The sequence below is a fragment of the Homo sapiens genome, chromosome 12, assembly GCF_000001405.40.
Source record: "Homo sapiens chromosome 12, GRCh38.p14 Primary Assembly".
NCBI classification, from domain to species: domain Eukaryota; kingdom Metazoa; phylum Chordata; class Mammalia; order Primates; family Hominidae; genus Homo; species Homo sapiens.
In genome coordinates, this window is record NC_000012.12 from 25,552,645 (window position 1) to 25,573,275 (window position 20,631).

Genomic DNA, 20,631 nt, shown 5'->3' on the forward strand with positions numbered 1-20,631 from the left:
ATCTGTCCAGGTGGATTTTTATACTTCTCAAGGACTAGAACCTTCTAAAACAGTAGTTGTGGAAGTAGTTGTATGCTACAGTCCATTATTTCTAGAAAATTTGTGAGATATATTCTAGTTCTAACTGGTTCATAAGAGTATTGAAACAAAAGAGGTCAAGCATGCCATCATTCCTCCTCTATAACTCAGCTCTAACTCTGCTTCCATCGCATCTATGCATGCTCACTGTTTTTGTTTCTCATTCTTATCTTCCTGCTCATGGACTTTATTCTGCATTGCCTTCGAAGCTTCCTGAATGTCTTGTGTATCTTTCATCTTGGCTAGAAAAGAAGTCTCTTTTCTTTCCTAGGAAAGCAGATCATGACATCAGATGACGAATATGGCTGAGGTTCAAGGCAGATTTTTCTTTTCAAAGTGACCTCACCTGTTAATCCAACTACCTTCAAGCATCAGCTAGGTTTAATAATTTCTTTACCAAACTAGTACCAGAACCACAATTCTCATGAGGATATGTAAGTACCAACATAGCCAATCCTGATCTTGGCTAAGGATGTCGGACAAACCATGGTGCAGGTGTGTAGCATTCACTGGAAGCAGCTTGAGAGGGCAGTAACTTGGCAAAGAGACCTTTATGACTACAGTTGTTGCTTCTGGCCAACACTGCCTCTTAGAACTATGAGGTAATGTCTCCATAGTAACCAAGTTCCAGTTTCTGAACAATTCCTATGTTGATGCTGTACCTTCTTTGCAGTTTGCAGACATTAAATAAAGTAATTTGCTCTTAGGAAAGCCATATCTTCCACTAGACTTTGCCACCAAAATTATTGATATCTTGTTTTGTATTTCTAAGAGTCAAGGCCAGTATGTACATACTGGGGAAATTAATCACAACTCTTTTCTTCTTTTTTTTCTTTCTCTCTCTCTGGACAAATACTTTGAGCACATGGAAACAGCTAGGCAGCAAGAATAGAAACCATAAAACTTCAATGCAAAAAGAAGTCTATTGGTAGAAATCATAAAATCAAAGCCAGAACACCTAAATTCTTCTCCTAGTTATGCCAGCAGTATGATTTAGAAGAAATCACTTAATTCAGTTTCTCCTCTGTGTAAAACACTCACACTTAATGTTTCATGATAATGATAGTATGGCAATAAAATTAATAACTATGAAAGTACATGATTATATACAGTAATAAGATATATAAATGATGATTACTGGATGAGTAAGCTTATTAAAAATAGTTAATAAGATTCTACTATTTCTTAAAAACTGGCTAGGTACCATGAATAAACAATACCTGCTTTCAGAAATAATACTAAAATATCTTCTAATATAGATTTGAAAATGATTTTTAAAGACAATAAAGTAACTGTCTTAAAAAGCCAAAAAGAAAAAGTCAAGACGTGTAACACGTAATAAGGTAAGTTAAAAGGAAGTAAACGTTTGACCGTATTTCCTCCCTCTCAGAGATGAAGCACAATTCCTTATGAACATTATGGGCCAATTATGTAAATATAGCATCAGAAGGTTTATAAATTTTTACTTACGCTTAGTAAAGAATTAAAAATGGGCTTGTCATTTCTTGTCACTCTCCCAGTCTCCCTACCTGTACCAGTCTGGATGGCTTTCTAGCTGTTAAAAATTTCTCTACTTGAACTGCATATATTAGCATAAAGTCGTTATGACCTCATTGGTTTTATCAGAGAGCCTGCTCATATTTTCCAACATATTTTGGAGAAATAAAATTCTGTCAGCTGAGAAAAACTTTTGAAGGCTTTGAAGTTGTGAGTGTTTCAATACTCATTCCCCATAGTAGACATTTTTCTTATTTCCTTTTCTTAAATTACTGTATATATGCAATGAAAACCAATTTCCTCTTTTGTTGTTGCTTAAACTAATTTAGTGGTTTTCAACAGGGGCCAAAGTGAACCATAGAGAGCATTTTGTAAATGTAAGAGGATGTTGATAGTAGTCATTAAAGATTCGGGTCGGGTATTAGTGGCATTTGGTAGACAGAACCCAGAGATGCTAGACTTTCCACAATGTGGCAGATAATCCTACTTAGTAAATAGTGTTCCCACATGACACGTGCCTTTCTAGGCATTCATGCAGGTGAAAAATAGATTACAATTATCTGGCCAGGCACAGTGGTTCCCACCTGTAATCCCAGCACTTTGGGAGGCCAAAGGGAGTGAATTACTTGAGGTCAGGAGTTCAAGACCAGTCTGGCCAACATGATGAAACCCCGTCTCTACTAAAAAAATACAAAAATCAGCTGGGTGTGGTGGCGGGTGCCTGTAATCCCAGCTACTCTGGAGGCTAAGGCAGGAGAATCGCTTGAACCGGGGATGTGGAGTTGCAGTGAGCTGAGATCGTGCCACTGCATTCCAGCTTGGGTGACAGAACCAGTCTCCGTCATTAAAAAAAAAAAAAAAAGATTAGAATTATATGAACCTAAAGCCTAGCTCTATATGTCATATAAATACAAAATATTTTTGCAGTTTTAGTATATACCAAAGTCTTTAGGATGTAACTATTTATTGTTTAAATTCCGGAAAGACTCTATATTGATTTGTTCAGACGTTTCCAAGAGTTATCAGTTTGGAAAAAATTACATCACCAATAGCAATACAACTTGGTAGTATTCATGTGGTTGATACAACTTATTGGACAGAGAATAACAGTAGCAATAATACCATCAGCAGCAACAAAATCAACCTGAATCTGATGAATCCTCTGCTTTACATGTAATACAGGAAACAGAAGAGCACATTAGCTAATCAACTAAGAAATTTAAAAGACACTTTTTGTAATTTGTGGATATAACATATCCTAATTCAAGCAAACTGTAGAAATTTATAAGACAGTAGAAACTTAAGCACATGGTACTTAATGATATTAAGGAATAACTGGTAAATATTTTAGGTGTGATATGGTGTCATGATTATGTTTTTTGAAAAGGGTTCTTATCTTTTAGTGATACATACTAAAACATTTATAGATAAAATGATATGACGTCCTCTGTTTCTAATGAATACAGACAGTAGGAAGCAGATGAGAATGTAGATGAAAAAGTTGGGCCATGACTTGTAATTATTAAAGCTGAGTAATAGTTACATGGAGATTCATTATAGATTATGATTATTTTTGACTGCAAATATCTAAGTTCTCCATAGCAAAAAGACTAAAATAGAAGCCTCAGTTTGGGATGCACAGACTCAAATGTTAATGGTGTCATCAACATGGCTGTGTCTGCTCAGGAAGGAGAGGGTCAGCAAGAACTGAAAGGAAGAAGCAGAGGTGCATGAGGTGCAATAATCTTTTTTTTTTTTTTTTTTTTTTTTTTGAGATGGATGTCGCTGTGTCATCCAGGCTGGAGTGCAATGGTGCAATCTCGGCTCACTGCAACCTCTGCCTCCTAGGTTCAAGTGATTCTACTGCCTTAGCCTCCCAAGTAGCTAGGACTACAGGCATGTGCCACCACGCCCGGCCAATTTTTGTATTTTTAGTAGAGACGAGGTTTCGCCATGTTGGCCGGGCTGGTCTTGAACTCCCGACCTCAAGTGATTTGCCTGCCTCGGCTTCCCAAAGTGTTGGGATTACAGGTGTGAGCCATTGTGCCAGTGCAATAATCTTTATACGGTTCTTTCACCACAGCTCTAGAAGATGAGAATTTCCCCATTTTCCAAATGAGGAAGTGGAAGTTCCAAGAGATGAAATACCTCTTCCAAGCTTATACAGCCAGTAAATGGCAGAGCCAAGATTTAGTCTCATCCATCTATTAGAGAGACCTCCTCACTGTACTTGCTGTTTCTGCTTTACTCTTGTTCCATATCTTCCTTTTTCTGTGGTATCTGCCTAAATGCTTGTCCATTCCTGAACCAGCTTCATCCTGCTTTTTCTGGTCTGGTCTCAAATCATCTCAAATCACTCTCTCCTCTGTCTTCTTGGCACTCTGTCAATTCTCTTTGCCTTTACCCCGCGTTGGGAAAGTACGAGAATTTTGCTGGGGAATTGAAGCCCCATAAGAGTAGATGTGGGTCAAATTAGGGTAATGAAAACTGAGTTTCATGTTGTGAGATTTCTACCTTAAGAAAAAATTAAAAGTGGCAAAATTCCATATTCTTAAGTTTAAAAAACAGACAAAATATTACATATACACAATTTTTAAAGATTTGAAGAACACAAAGAACTGGCTTTATATATTTTAGTTCTCTGCCTCCACATGTGGAGAAGATTTGCACAGCAAGAGATTTTATTAAATTGGTAATACAAATAAAATGTCTTGTGTGAATGAAGGCAGCATATATAAAGATAGTTTTCTTCCCCTCTCAGGCCATGGGTAATATGCAGTTGAGTAATAATCAGTTCAGGACTACAATTTTAAACACTATGACATGTTCCATTATCTAAGATTCAAAGAGTTTGGAATACAATTGTAGGAATTCAATTTCATATTTACACCCACATAAAAATAGTATAAATTCCTATTATAAAGCCTTTTGCTAGTCCAAAAATGTACTCAGTCAATTCATTTCTTTTACACAGATCCACGTGTAATAACAGCCTCAGACACAGATGCTATTATTTTACCTTCAAGTTAGAGTCACATTAAGCTCCTACGAGGGGTATTTCAAGAGAGGCTAGAGGACATGTATTGGAAGTTTCAAGTTTCAGACAGTTTGTTCAAAGTAATCTTCATGGAGCTTCCCAATCACAAAATCCTGTTGAAAAACAACACTAAGGTCTTAGATCTGCATTTCTGAGGCTGAGTCTCAAACACTGGTTTGAATCCTCAGACATACCAATTTTAGCAATAGTTCAAAATAACTGTCTAATTACTTTACACATTACATGTATTTTAGGAGTAGTCTGTCTGCAAATCTTTTCTATTCATACTCTTTAGAGGAATATAGCACTTATTTTTCCAAGTCAAGTCAGGACACCTCAGACTTGTTCAGGAGACAAAGATTCATAACATTTGCTCTTATTTGCAGAACACTATATTCTGTATAGTAATTTTTAAAAAAATACAAACCAATACATTTATTTCACCTATACTCTTTTAATCTATCTTATGAAATCACAACCACCAGCCCATGTGTCTTGAAACAAAATAACACCCAACAAATGGTTGAACCAAGAGCAAATAGTTAATTTTGAGGTTTCCTATTGATATAAATTTGCAGTTTCATTTTCTTCTATCATATATGGGCAATCTCTAGCAGAAAAGTAGTCTGGAGCCAAAGCCTGTAACACATTATTGGAGAACAATTTGAATTGAGAAATTCTATTCATTAGCTTTTATTCCCTCTGCAAACAGGATAAAGGCAGTCATTATTCAACATAACAGCCAAATATTGATTCTCTAGTTTATGGAACACTAGCGCCCCCTAGGAACCCTGTTTAAAATATGTAAAAATTTTAACCTATGAGAGGAGCACTCAATTAAAGGAGTAAGAAAGATCAGTATCAGTTGTAATGTCTCCTTTTTCATCTCTGACTTTATTTATTTGGATCTTCTCTTTTATTCTTAGTCTGGCTAAAGGTTTGTCAATTTTGTTTAACTTTTCAAAAAACCAACTTTTTGTTTTATTGATCTTTTGTATTGTTTTCATTTCAGTTTCATTTGTTTCTGCTCTGATCTTTATTATTTCTTCTACTGATTTTGGGTTTGGTTTGCTCTTATTTTTCTAGTTCTTCAGATGCATCATCAGACCTGTTATTTGAAATTTTTCTTCTTTTTTGACGTAGGCACTTACAGCTATAAAATTCCCTCTTAGTACTGCTTTTGCTATATTCCATAGGTTTTGGTATATGTGTTTCCATTATTTGTTTCAAGAAATTTTCAATTTTCTTTTTAATTTCCTCATTGACTCACTGGTCATTTAGGAGCATATTGTTTAATTTCTATGTTGTATTAGTCTGTTCTCATGCTGCTAACAAAGACATATCCGACACTGGGTAATTTATAAAGAAAAGACGTTTAATGGCCTCACATTTCCACATGGCCGGGGAGGCCTCACAATCATAGCGGAAGACAAAGGAAGGGCAAAGGGTTGTCTCACATGGCGGCAGGCAAGAGAGCATGTGCAGGGGAACTCCCTTTATAAAACCATCAGATGTCATAAGACTTAGTCACTATCATAAGAACAGCATGGGAAAAACCCACCTCCATGATTCAATTACTTCCCATTGAGTCCCTCCCATGACACGTGGGGGTTACTACAATTCAAGGTGAGATTTGGGTGGGGACACAGAGCCAAACAATATCACGTGTATTTGTATAATTTCCAAAATTTCTCTTGTCATTGACTTACAGTTTTTTTTTTTGAGACAGTCTTTTTTTTTAGAATGCTAATCCCCCAATTTTATTTAATCACTATACTTCCTGCATAATTATTATAATTATTATTATACTTTAAGTTCTAGGGTACATGTGTACAACATGTGGGTTTGTTACATATGCATACACATGCCATGTCGGTATGCTGCACCCGTTAACTCGTCATTTACATTAGGTATATCTCCTAATGCTATACCTCCCCCCTGCCCCCACCCCATGAAAGGCCCCAGTGTGTGATGTTCCCCACCCTGTGTCCGAGTGTTCTCATTGTTCAATTCCCACCTATGAGTGAGAACATGGGGTGTTTGGTTTTCTGTCCTTGCAATACTTTGCTCAGAATGATGGTTTCCAGCTTCATCCACGTCCCTTCAAAGGACATGAACTCGTCCTTTGTTATGGCTGCATAGTATTCCATGGTGTATATGTGACACATTTTCTTAATCCAGTCTATCATTGATGGACATTTGGGTTGGTTCCAACTCTTTGCTATTGTGAATAATGCCGCAATAAACATGTGTGTGCATGTGTCATTATAGCAGCATGATTTATAATCCTTTGGTTATATGTCCAGTAATGGGATGGCTGGGTCAAATGGTATTTCTAGTTCTAGATCCTTGAGGAATCACCACACTGTCTTCCACAATGGTTGAACTAGTTTACAGTCCAACCAACAGTGTAAAAGTGTTCCTATTTCTCCACATCCTCTCCAGAACCTGTTGTTTCCTGACTTTTTAATGATCGCCATTCTAACTGGTGTGAGATGGTATCTCATTGTGGTTTTGATTTGCATTTCTCTGATGGCCAGTGATGATGAACATTTTTTCACGTGTCTGTTCACTGCATAAATGTCTTCTTTTGAGAAGTGTCTGTTCATATCCTTTGCCCACTTTTTGATGGGGTTGATTTTTTCTTACAAATTTGTTTAAGTTCTTTGTAGATTCTGGATATTAGCCTTTTGTCAGATGGGTAGATTATAAAAATTTTCTCCCATTCTGTAAGTTGCCTGTTCACTCTGATGGTAGTTTCTTTTGCTGTGCAGAAGCTCTTTAGTTTAATTAGATCCCATTTGTCAATTTTGGCTTTTGTTGCCATTGCTTTTGGTGTTTTAGACATGAAGTCCTTGCCGATGCCTATGTCCTGAATGGTATTGCCTAGGTTTTCTTCTAGGGATTTTATGGTTTTAGGTCTAACATTTAAGTCTTCAATCCATCTTGAATTAATTTTTGTATAAGGTGTAAGGAAGGGATCCAGTTTCAGCTTTCTACATATGGCCAGCCAGTTTTCCCAGCACCGTTTATTAAATAGGGAATCCTTTCCCCATTGCTTGTTTGTGTCAGGTTTGTCAAAGATCAGATAGTTGTAGATATGTGGCATTATTTCTGAGAGCTCTGTTCTGTTCCATTGATCTATATCTCTGTTTTGGTACCAGTACCATGCTGTTTTGGTTACTCTAGCCTTGTAGTATAGTTTGAAGTCAGGTAGCATGATGCCTCCAGCTTTGCTTTCTTGGCTTAGGATGGTCTTGGCAATGAGGGCTCTTTTTTGGTTCCATATGAACTTTAAAGTAGTTTTTTTCCAATTCTGTGAAGAAAGTCATTGGTAGCTTGATGGGGATGGCATTGAATCTATAAATTACCTTGGGGGATATAGCCATTTTCACAATATTGATTCTTCCTATCCATGAGCACCAAATCTTCTTCCATTTGTTTGTGTCCTCTTTGATTTCATTGAGCAGTGGTTTGTGTTTCTCCTTCACATCCCTTATAAGTTGGATTCCTAGATATTTTATTCTCTTTGAAGCAATTGTGAATGGGAGTTCACTCATGATTTGGCTCTCTGTTTGTCTGTTATTGATGTATAGGAATGCTTGTGATTTCTGCACATTGATTTTGTATCCTGAGACTTTGCTGAAGTTGCTTATCAGCTTAAGGAGATTTTGGCCTGAGATGATGGGGTTTTCTAAATATACAATCATGTCATCTGCAAACAGGGACAATTTGACTTTCTCTTTTCCTAATTGAATACCCTTTTTTTCTTTCTCTTGCCCGATTGCCTTGGCCAGAATTTCCAACACTATTTTGTTGATCTTTTCAAAACACCAGCTCCTTGATTCATTGATTTTTTGAAGGGTTTTTTGTGTCTCTATCTCCTTCAGTTCTGCTCTGATCTTAGTTATTTCTTGCCTTCTGCTAGCTTTTGAATTTGTTTGCTCTTGCTTCTCTAGTTCTTTTAATTGTGATGTTAGGGTGTCAATTTTAGGTCTTTCCTGCTTTCTCTTGTGGGCATTTAGTGCTATAAATTTCCCTCTACACACTGCTTTAAATGTGTCCCAGAGATTCTGGTTCATTGTGTCTTTGTTCTCCTTGGTTTCAAAGAAATCTTTATTTCTGCCTTCATTTCGTTATGTACCCAGTAGTCATTCAAGAGCAGGTTGTTCAGTTTCCATGTAGTTGAGCAGTTTTGAGTGAGTTTCTTAATCCTGAGTCTAGTTTGATTGCACTGTGGTCTGAGAGATAGTTCCTTATAATTTCTGTTCTTTTACATTTGCTGAGGAGTGCTTTACTTTCAACTATGTGGTCAATTTTGGAATAAGTGTGATGTGGTACTGAGAAGAATGTATACTCTGTTGATTTGGGGTGGAGAGTTCTGTAGATGTCTATTAGGTCTGCTTGGTGCAGAGCTGAGTTCAGGTCCTGGATATCCTTGTTAACTTTCTGTCTCGTTGATCTGTCTAATGTTGGCAGTGGGGTGTTAAAATCTCCCATTATTATTCTGTGGGAGTCTAAGTCTCTTTGTAGGTCTCTCAGGACTTGCTTTATGAATCTGGGTGCTCCTGTATTGGGTGCATATATATTTAGGTTAGCTCTTCTTGTTGAATTGATCCCATTACCATTATGTAATGGCCTTCTTTGTCTCTTTGATCTTCGTTGGTTTAAAGTCTGTTTCATCAGAGACTAGGATTGCAACCCCTGCTGTTTTATGTTTTCCGTTTGCTTGGTAGATCTTCCTCCATCCCTTTATTTTGAGCCTATGTGTGTCTCTGCACATGAGATGGGTCTGCTGAATACAGCACACTGATGGGTCTTGACTCTTTATGTAATTTGCCACTCTGTGCCTTTTAATTGGAACATTTAGCCCATTTACATTTAAGGTTAATATTGTTATGTGTGAATTTGATCCTGTCATTATGATGTTAGCTGGTTATGTTGCTCATTATTGATGTAGTTTCTTCCTAGCATTGATGGTCTTTACAATTTGCCATGTTTTTGCAGTGGCTTGTAACGATTGTTCCTTTCCATGTTTAGTGCTTCCTTCAAGAGCTCTTGTAAGGGAGGCCTGGTGGTGACAAAATCTCTCAGCATTTGTTTGTCTGTAAAGGATTTTATTTCTCCTTCACTTATGAAGCTTAGTTTGGCTGGATATGAAATTCTGGGTTGCAAATTCTTTCCTTTAAGAATGTTGAATATTGGCCCCCACTCTCTTCTGGCTTGGAGAGTTTCTGCGGGGACATCCGCTGTTAGTCTGATGGGCTTCCCTTTGTGGGTAACCTGACCTTTCTCTCTGGCTGCCCTTAACATTTTTCCTTCATTTCAACTTTGGTGAATCTGACAATTATGTGTCTTGGAGTTGGCTCTTCTCGAGAAGTATCTTTGTGGCGTTCTCTGTATTTCCTGAATTTGAATGTTGGCCTGCCTTGCTAGGTTGAGGAAGTTCTCCTGGATAATATCCTGAAGAGTGTTTTCTAATTTGGTTCCATTCTCCCCGTCACTTTCAGGTACACCAATCCGATGTAGATTTGGTCTTTTCACATAGTCCCATATTTCTTGGAGGCTTTGCTCATTTCTTTTTACTCTTTTTTCTCTAAACTTCTCTTCTCCCTTCATTTCATTCATTTGATCTTCAATCACTAATACCCTTTCTTCCACTTGATCAAATCAGCTACTGAAGCTTGTGTATGCATCACGTAGTTCTCGTGCCATGGTTTTCAGCTCCATCAGGTCATTTAAGGACTTCTCTACACTGTTTATTCCAGTTATCCATTTGTCCAATCTTTTCTCAAGGTTTTTATCTTCTTTGTGATGGGTTCGAACATCCTCCTTTAGCTCAGAGAAGTTTGTTATTACCAATCATCTGAAGCCTTCTTCTGTCAACTTGTCAAAGTCATTCTCCATCCAGCTTTGTTCCATTGCTGGCGAGTAGCTGCGTTCCTTTGGAGGAGAAGAGGCGCTCTGATTTTTAGAATTTTCAGCTTTTCTGCTCTGGTTTCTCCCTATGTTTGTGGTTTTATCTACCGTTAGTCTTTGATGATGGTGACGTACAGACAGGGTTTTGGTGTGGATGTCCTTTCTGTTTGTTAGTTTTCCTTCTAACAGTCAGGACTCTCAGCTGCAGGTCTGTTAGAGTTTGCTGGAGGTCCACTCCAAACGCTGTTTGCCTGGGTATCACCACCAGAGGCTGCAGAACAGCAAATATTGCAGAACGGCAGATGTTGCTGCCTGATCCTTCCTCTGGAAGCTTCATCTCAGAGGGGCACCCGGCTGTATGAGGTGTCAATTGGCCCCTACTGGGAGATGTCTCCCAGTTACGCTACTCAGGGGTCAGGGACCCACTTGAGGAGGGAGTCTGTCCGTTCTCAGATCTCAAACTCCATGCTGGGAGAACCACTACTCTCTTAAAAGCTGTCAGACAGGGATGTTTAAGTCTGCAGAAGTTTCTGCTGCCTTTTGTTCAGCTATGCCCTGCCCCCAGGGGTGTACTCTACAGAGGCAGGCAGGCCTCCTTGAGCTGCAGTGGGCTCCACCCAGTTTGAGCTTTCAGGCCGCTTTGTTTACCTACTCAAGCCTCAGCAATGGTGGGCGCCCCTCCCCCAGCCTCGCTGCCACCTTGCAGTTCAATCTCAGACTGCTGTGCTAGCAGTGAGTGAGGCTCCGTAGGCGTGGGACCCTCCAAGCCATGCGTGGGATATAATCTCCTGGTGTGCCGTTTGCTAAGGCCATTGGAAAAGTGCAGTATTAGGTATTAGGGTGGGAGTGTCCCAATTTTCCAGGTACCACCCATCATGGCTTCCCTTTGCTAGGAAAGGGAATTCCCTGACCCCTCGCGCTTCCCAGGTGAGGCAATGCCCCGCCCTGCTCCATGGGCTGCACCCACTGTCTGACAAGCCCCAGTGAGATGAACCCGGTACCTCAGCTGGAAATGCAGAAATCACCCATCTTCTGCATCACTCACGCTGGGAGCTGCAGACTGGAGCTGTTCCTATTCGGCCATCTTGGAACCTCCTCCTTCAAAAAGAGTCTTGCTCTGTCACCCAGGCTGGAGGGCAGTGGCACAATCTCGGCTGACTGCAACCTCTGCCTTCCAGGTTCAAGAAATTCTCCTGCCTCAGTCTCCCAAGTAACTGGGATTACAGGTGCCCACCACCACGCCTGACTAATTTTTGTATTTTTAGTAGAGACATGGTTTCACCCTGTTGGCCAGGCTGATCTAGAACTCCTGACCTCGTGATCCACCTACCTCAGCCTCCCAAAGTGCTGGGATTACAGGCATGAACCACCATGCCCGGCTTGATTTATAGTTTTATTCTGTTGTGATCAGAGAAGATGCTAGACATTATTTCAATTTTTTTAATGTTTTAAGATTTGTTTTGTGACTCAACATATGATCTATCCTTGAGAATGATCCATGTGCTGAGGAAAAGAATGTGTATTCTGCAGCCATTGGGTGAAATGTTCTGTAAATATTTATTAGATCCTTCTGGTCTATAGTGTATATTAAGTCTGATGTTTATTTGTTGATTTTATGTCTGGAAGTTCTGTCCAGTGTTGAAAGTGGGGTGAAGTCTCTAGCTATTATTGTATTGGAGTCTATCTCTCTCTTTATCTCTAATAATATTTGCTTTATATATCTGGGTTTTTCAGTATTGGGCACATATATATTTTAAACTGTTATAACCTCTTGCTGAATTGACCCCTTTATCATTATATAGTGACCTTCTTTGTCTCTTCTTATAGATTTTCTCTTGAAATCTATTTTGTCTGATATAAGTATAGCTCTGCCTGCTCTTCTCTTGGTTTCCATTGGCATATAATATCTTTTTCCATCCCTTTATTTTTAGTCTATGTATGTTTTTATTCATGAAGTGTGTTTCAGCCACTCTATGTCTTTTGATTGGAGAGTTTAGTCCATTTGCATTCAATATTATTATTTATAACTAAGAACTGACTTCTGCCATTTTATGTTTTTTTTTGTGGTCTTCTCTTTGTTCTTTCTTTTCTTTCTGTCTTCCTTTTAGTGAAGATTATTTTCTCTGCTGATATGATTTAGTTTCTTGCTTTTTATTTTTTGTGTATCCATTATCTGTTTTCTTATTCTGAGGTTATCATGAGGCTTGCAAATACTATCTTATAACCTATTATTTTAAGATGATAACAACTTAACATTGTGGTATAAACAACCTAACAAGCAAAAAGAAAACTAATAAAGACTCTGTGCCTTAACTTTGTCCCCAACTTTTTCACATTTTGTTGTTTCTATTTATATCTTATTGTACTGTCTGTGTCATGAAAAGTTGTTGTAGTTATTATTTTGGATTGGTTCATCCTTTAGTCCTTCTACGTAAGAGTAGCTTAAACACCATTGTTACAGTGTTATAATGTTCTGTGTTTTTCTGTATATTTACTATTACCAGTGAATTTTGTATCTTCAGATGACTTCTTTTTGCTCATCAACATCCTTTTTCTTTCTGATTGAAGTTCTCCTTTTAGCATTTCTCACAGGACAGATCTGGTGTTGAAATCCCTCAGCTTCCGATTGTCTGAAAAAGTCTTTATTTCTCCTTCATGTTCGAAGAATATTTTTGCTGGTTATACTATTCTAGTGTAAACGTTTTTGTTGTTTTTCTCTTCAGCACTTTAAATATGTTATGCCACTCTATCCTGGCCTGTAATGTTTCCACTGAAAAGTCTGCTGCCAGGCATATTGGAGCTCCATTGTAGGTTATTTCTTTTCTCTTACTGCTTTTAGAATTCTTTCTTTGTCCTTGATCTTTGGGAGTTTGATTATTAAATACCTTGACGTAGTCTTCTTTGGGTTAAATCTGCTTGGTGTTCTATAAGCTTCTTATACTTGCATATTGCTATCTTTTTTAGGTTTGGGAAGTCCTTTTTAATTATCCCTTTGAATAAACTTTCTACCCCTCTCTCTTTCTCTACCTCCTCTTTGAGGCCAATAACTCTTAGAATTGCCCTTTCAAGTCTATTTTCTAGTTCCTATAAGTGTGCTTCATAGTTTTTTATTCTTTTTTTCTTCTGTCTCTTCTGACAGTGTATTTTCAAATAGCTTGGCTTCAGTTTCTTTATTCACTCATTGATTGATGGCCATTTGGGTTGGCTCCACGTTTTCGCAAGTGCCAATTGTGGTGCTATAAATACGGAAGTGCAAGTATCTTGTTTGTATAACGACTTCTTTTCCTCTGGGTATGTACCCAGTAGTGGAATTGCTGGATCAAATGGTAGTTCTACTTTAGTTCTTTAAGAAATCTCCACACTGTTTTCCATAGTGGTTGTGCTAGTTTACATTCCCACCAGCATGAGCTCTATCAATGGCTTTAGGCGCAAATATAAGACTGTGTTGAGCCCAACGAACACCAGTGTAAAAACACAGGCAGGGAGAGGCCTCAACCCTGTCTTTTCTTCCTCCCTGGTAACCATGCATATAACAAATTTGAAGTTAGGATTTGTTGTTAGGGTTGCTCACTGTTGATGAACAATCCTATCATTGTTTGATGATAGCAACGGGCGTCAATGAAGGGTACAGTTCACCAAAGGCAGATTATTCTTAAGAATTCCATGATGCTGTTTACTAAATGAAACTGTTTTAATTATTCTCTTGACAATTTGAAGTGTAAACAAATTTAGGCTGGTAAATAGAAACATCTCCCTTGTGTGCAAATGAGAGAATGGAAGAAATTGGGAGAATGCTAAGGATACTAAGGCCCTGAGGTTCCAGTTATGTCTTTTGTAAGTGCAGGACACCTCCAACTTTCACTAGGAACAGAAAAGAGAGTACTAGGGTGGATGACATAGTGTCTGAAGTGACGCTGGGTTGTTTGTTTGAGACCATGTGTGTGAGAAAGATGTGAAAAACCAGACATCTGAGATAGAATAAGAAAATTCATGCATTGTTAGGAAACTGAACTCTAAGAACCCTATGGTCAGATATGGACTAGTCTGCAGTAGAAGAAAGACAACTTAGACATCTTTATTTTCTTGAAATTTTCTTCAGCTGTTCTATTATTCTTAGTGTTTATTGTTGTACTGTTTGCTTCTGTTTCTCCCTTAGTTTTCTGAGTAAATACTTCTACAATTCAGAGTCAGCCATACTCAATAGTGAGTAAATACTATTACACCACTACTATATAGCTATTATTTACCATGATTCCTATATGTGTTAAATACTTTACATATATTATCTCATTTTATTCTTATAATGATGTGATATGGCTTGGATATTTGTCCCCTCCAAATGTGTTGAATTGTAATCCCCAGTGTGGATGAGGGGCCTAGTGGGAGGTGATGGGATCATGGGGATTGGTCCCTCGTGAATGGTTTAGCAGCATCCCCTTGGTGACAAGTTGGTTCTTGCTTGGTTAGTTCACATGACATCTGGTTGTTTAAAAGAGTGTGGCACCTCCTCCCTTGCCATCTTGCTTCCACTCTCACTGTGTGACATGCTGACTCTGCATCACCTTCCACCATGATTGTAAGTTCCCTGAAGCCCTCACCAGAAGCAGATGCCAGCACCATGCTTCCTGTACAGGCTGCAGAATTGTGAGCCAACTTAAATCTCTTTTATTTATAAACTACCCAGTCTTAAGTATTTCTTTATAGCAATGTAAGAGTGGCTTAATACAGAAAATGGGTACTGAGAAGTGGGGTGTTTCTATAAAGATACCTGAAAACGTAGAAGCAACTGTGGAACTGGGTAACGGGCAGAGGTTAGAGGGGTTTGGAGGGCTCAGAAGATAGAAAGATTAGGGAAAGTTTGGAACTTCTTAGAGACCACTTAAATGGTTGTGACCAAAATACTGATAGTGATATGGACAGTGAAGTCCAGTCTGAGAAGGTCTCAGATGGAAATGAGGGACTTTTCAGGAACTGGAGCAAAGGTCACCTTTGTTATGCCTTAGCAAAGAACTTGACTGCATGGTGTCCATGTCCTAGGGATCCGTGGAAGTTTGAACTTAAGAGTGATGACTTAGAGTATCTGTTGGAAGAAATTTCTAAGTAGCAAAACGGTCAATATGTTGCCTGGCTGCTTCTAACATCCTACTTTCAGATGTGAAAGCAAAGAAATGACTTAAAATTGGAACATATATTTTAAAAAGAAGCACAGCCTAGAAGTTTGGAAAATTCACAGCCTAGCCATGTGGCAGAAAAGAAAAGCCCATTTTCAGGGGAAGAACACAAGTGGACTGCAGAACAACAACTTGCTAGAGAGATTTGTATGACTGACAGATAGCCAGGTACTGATAGCCAAGACAATAGGGAAAAGGCCTGGAAGGCATTTCAGAGACTTATGAGGCAGCTCTTCCTATCAGAGGCCCAGAGATCTAGAGTAAAGAATGGTTTAATGGGCCAGGCTTGGAATGCCAAAGCCCTGCATCACCTGGGGGTGCTTCTCCCCTCATTTCTGCAGCTCCAGCTTCAGCCATGGCTCAAAGTGCCCCAGATACAGCTTAGGCCACTGCTCCAGAGGGCACAAGCTATTTATTCCTTGGCAGCTTCCACATGATGTTAAGCCTGCAGGTGCACAGAATCCAAAAGTAAAGGAGGCTTGGCAAATTCCACCTAGATTTCAGAGGATGTATCAGAAAGCCTCCTAGGCTTCTGCCTAACCCCTAACTCAGGTAGAAGCCTGCCACATGGGAGGAGCTTCCACAAGAACCTCTACTAGGGCAACACCAAGGGGAAATATGAAGTCGGAGCCCTGACACAGAGTTCCAACTGAAGCACTGCCTGGTGGAGCTGTGGGAAGGGGGCTGATGCCCTCTAGACCCCAGAATGGTAGAGCTACTGGCAGCTTGCCCTCTGTGCCTAGAAAAGCCACAAGCACTCAACTCCAACCCATGAAGGCAGCTGCAGGGGCTGCACCCGGCAAAGCCATGGAGGCAGAGCTGCCCAAGGCCTTAGGAGTCCACCCATTATACAGTGTGCCCTGGATGGAGGACATGGAGTCAAAGGAGATTATTTTGGAGCTTTAAAATTTAATGACTGCCCTGCTGGGTTTCAGACTTGCATGGGGCTATTGGCACTTTCTTTTAGGCAACTTTTCCCTTTGGGAATGGGAATGTTTACCCAATGCCTGTACCACCATTGTATCTGGGAAGTAAATAACTTGTTTTGATTTTGTAGTCTCATAGGTAGAAGGAGACAAGTCTCAGATGAGACTTAGGACTTTAAACTTGATGTTGGAATGAGTTAAGACTTTGGGGGACTGTTGGGAAGAGATTATTGTGTTTTGCAATGTGAGAAGGACATGAAATTTGGGAGTTCAGGGGCAGAATGATATGGTTTGGATATTTGTCCCCACCCTAGTGCAAGACGTGGGGCCTGGTAGAAGATGACTGGATCACAAAGACAGATCACTCATGATTGGTTTAGCACCATCTCTTTGGTGATAAGTTCTCATTCAGTTAGTTCACATGATATCTGGTTGTTTAAAAGTGTATAGCACCCCCTGCCCACCTTGCTCTCTTGCTCCCACTCTTGCCATGGGAGATGCCTGCTTCCCCTTTGCCTTCCACCATGATTGTAAGTTCCCTGAGGCCCTCACCAGAAGCAGATACTGGTACCATGCTTTCTGTGCAGCCTGCAAAACCGTGAACCAATTCAACCTCTTTTATTTATAAATTACCCAGTCTCTGATATTTATTTATAGCAATGCAAGAACAGCCTAATATATGATGTATTATTGTCTGCCTTTCACAAATGAGGCAATCGATGCCTTTAGCAGTCAGATAATTGTCCAAAGCCACACAGCTGTAAAGTAGCAGAACCAGGACCAGAGTTCAGTTTTGTCTGACTTCAGAGGCTGCATTCTCAATCATTATATTATACCATTCCCTGCAAAATACTGAGCGCCATCGTTTACAAGGCAATTGAATAGATACTCTATAATATATAAACATGTTTCAGGCATGCTCCTTGGTCTTCTGGAATTTATTATTTAGATGAAACTATAGTAGCTGCGAATAAAAAATAAATATAGTGCATGACAGAATGTGATAAGAACCAAAGGAATAGTTTTTTCAAAGGCTCAAATAAGGGAAGCAATTACTTTGACTGTTGTAGTTAGAAAGACTTTATAGAAGAGGTGACATGAGTGGGCCTCAAAGGTTGGATAGAACTTTGAAAGGTAGAGAACAGGAAGGAAAGCATTTGTTAACTAATTTCTTTATGCATGCATTCAATCAATCAACAAATACACATATTAAGTGTGTGCAGTGGCTAGGCAGTGTTGTATGTACTTTTCTGGCATGCATCAAAATGCAGGGATGAAAGTACAAGCAGATACAGCAAAGATGAACTAATTGGCTGAGGCAAGAGATGGCATGGGTGGGGAGTGCCAAGTAGAGCCAGAGAGACAGGGAAGACCAGACTGTGGAGAGCCTTGAACACCAGGCCTAGGAGTTGAATGCATTCCCAGTATGCATTATGTAACCATGTGTTTGTTCCTAGTGGATCAATAATTAGACGAATTATAGGATACTAAAAGAAACTTTTGCTAGCCCACTCCATTCTTTGGTTGGTGGCTCTAGAGGCAATCTCTTTAAAAGGCTCTGCAGTACATTAATACTACAAGCAATCATTTGCACATTATGGGAAAGGTCCTCTTTGTTAGTTCAGTAGGAGTAAAATTCATTCTGCTGTTATTAGTAATAGATAGGATGGAGTAAATGCTGAGCAGCCTTAACAAATCATGTTTAAAAGTACACCCAGGGCCCACTTTATGGGCCTGTGACCTGTACAGTCATAGGTGGCTCAGTGCTCAGCAGAGCCCCATGCTTGGTTTAATGATCTGTTGTTGCTGCCTTGAAATCCTTAGTAATTTTTAACAAGGGGTCCCGTAAATTCTATAACTAGTTCTGAGTAGACCAGTTTTAAAATTGGCCCCTTAGGATAGGAGACAAATTACCTCAGCAAATGAAAACTAAATTTAGTTATTTAGGAAATTAAGGTAAATGACATTCCTGAAAAATAAAAGATCTGAAAGATTTTGTTCTCGTATCAATGTGAAATGATTTTTAGCTTCAGTCACCATGGGGATTTCTTTTTTCAAAAAAGTATTTTTATTTATTTATTTATTTATTTATTTATTTATTTATTTTTTGAGACGGAGTCTCGCTCTGTCACCCAGGCTGGAGTGCAGTGGTGCGATCTCGGCTCACTGCAAGCTCTGCCACCCAGGTCCACGCCATTCTCCTGCCTTAGCCTCATGAGTAGCTGGGACTACAGGCACCCACTACCACACCCGGCTAATGTTTTATATTTTTAGTAGAGACAGGGTTTCACTGTGTTAGCCAGGATGGTCTCGATCTCCTGACCTCGTGATCCACCCACCTTGGCCTCCCAAAATGCTGGGATTACAGGCATGAGCTACCATTCCCAACCTTTTCAAAAAATATTTATTTATTTAGAGACAGAGTCTTGCTCTGTTGCCCAGGCTGGAGTGCAGTAGTGCAATCATGGCTCACTGCAAGCTCTGCCTCCCGGGTTCAAGCAATTCTCGTGCCTCAGTTTCTCAAGTAGTTGGGATTACAGGTGACCACCACCATGCCCAGCTAATTTTTTGTATTTTTAGTAGAGAAGGGGTTTCACTGTGTTAGCCATGCTGGTCTCAAACTCCTGGCCTCAAGTTGATCCACCTGCCTCAGTCTCTCAAAGTGCTGGGATGACAGGAATAAGCCACCACACCCAGCTCAACCAAGTGGATTTCTATAAAGGTAGGAAAGGTGGAGGTGGCATGAATGGAGACCAGAGGTTCCTCCCCTAGGTTTTGGAGCCAGATACGTTTCAGTGCAAATCAGGGATCCTCCATTGATTTGCTATGAGAACTTATGTAAAATAACTTCATAGGTTTCAATCTCTTCTTCTGTAAAATGGGGATAGAAAGAGCATTGTCATAAGAATATGACATAAATTAGGTACTCAAAAACTTACATCTATTATTTAATCATCCATCTTATTAACTTTAATCATTTGAACATTATGGGAAAGGTCCTTTAGTGCTAAAAAGAAAAAGTATTTCCCCTTCCATTATATTCAGAGTATTGTGATTTAATTTTATTTGATGCAAATGGCTAAGTTGTATCTATTTGTGAGACTGTTTAAATGATTTGATGGCATACAAGAATGTTTTTATATTCTTTCCAAAGCGTCAATATAAATTAAAATCCTGTTGGGGAAACCTATGTGTGTACAGAAATCCATCATTTTCATAGTGTCACTAGTCAAATGAAGACCATATACAGATAATACCAATCAACAAAAAATCCAAACTCACAACATTGAAACCTGCAGGGTTACACTGGGGAGGAGGGGAAGGAATGAAAAAGGGAGAGAGTTGAGAATATTAACAAAAATACCATGTGACATGAAGTAGAGGCAGTAAGACAATGGAAAATTAGAGGTTGCAGACTTAGAACAAAGACCTGAAAATCAAAACAAAAAGCAAAAAACCCCTCAGAGCTACTGTGCTAGCATATTTCCTTCCTCTCTTCCTCCCTCTCCCAATCCATCCATCCCTCCATCCCTCCCTCCCTCCCTCCCTTCCTTCTGCCAGATAACTTTAGGGAAAAAAACAGCTATACTGCTTTATTTCTTTACTGCTCACTCGCATTTCCCATTGTGCTATGCTTTCTTCCCTTGCAGGTAAGTCACGCCTGCTCTCAGGGTCACAGTGTCCTCCTAGTAGATCCATCTAATGACTTTAATCCTCAGTCTCCTTCTGCAGCACTGACATGATTAATCCCTCTTCTGTTTGCACTTTCTCCTCTGTTTGTCTATATCGCTCTTTCTTGTTTTTCTCCTCTAAATTCTCGTCCAACTCCCCGACCTCCTGTCTTTCTCCAAATTCAGAGAATCCATCTGGTCAGTCCTTGGCCTTTTCTCTGTTTGTTTTCCTTTCTTATTTCAGTAACTTCACTCCTTTTCTTATCTTCAACCATTACATCTTTTTGACTCTAAAATCTCTGATTATACGTGTCTCCTAAGCTCTAGTCTAA

The 20,631-nt window shown here is 39.4% G+C and overlaps 1 protein-coding gene across 25 annotated transcripts in view; it reads right to left on the reverse strand.

Annotated features, from left to right (window-relative positions):
- Positions 1–20,631, reverse strand: part of LMNTD1 (lamin tail domain containing 1) — a 172,497-nt gene that overhangs the window by 76,563 nt on the left and 75,303 nt on the right. For 13 of the 25 annotated variants that reach the window (XR_931277.2, XR_931276.2, XM_011520575.2 and 10 more), the window contains one exon: positions 227–345. The exons of 6 other annotated variants lie outside the window; for them this stretch is intronic. Coding sequence is in view for 14 of the 19 variants with exons in the window: in XM_011520575.2 (XP_011518877.1) it covers positions 227–315 (89 nt within the window). In the remaining 5 variants the exon portion in view is untranslated. Of the gene's footprint in view, positions 1–226; positions 346–424; positions 640–4,594; positions 4,726–20,631 lie in introns of those variants that run through there. 6 more of the 25 variants (NM_001145728.2, NM_001145729.1, NM_001256266.1 and 3 more) reach the window with 4 other exon arrangements.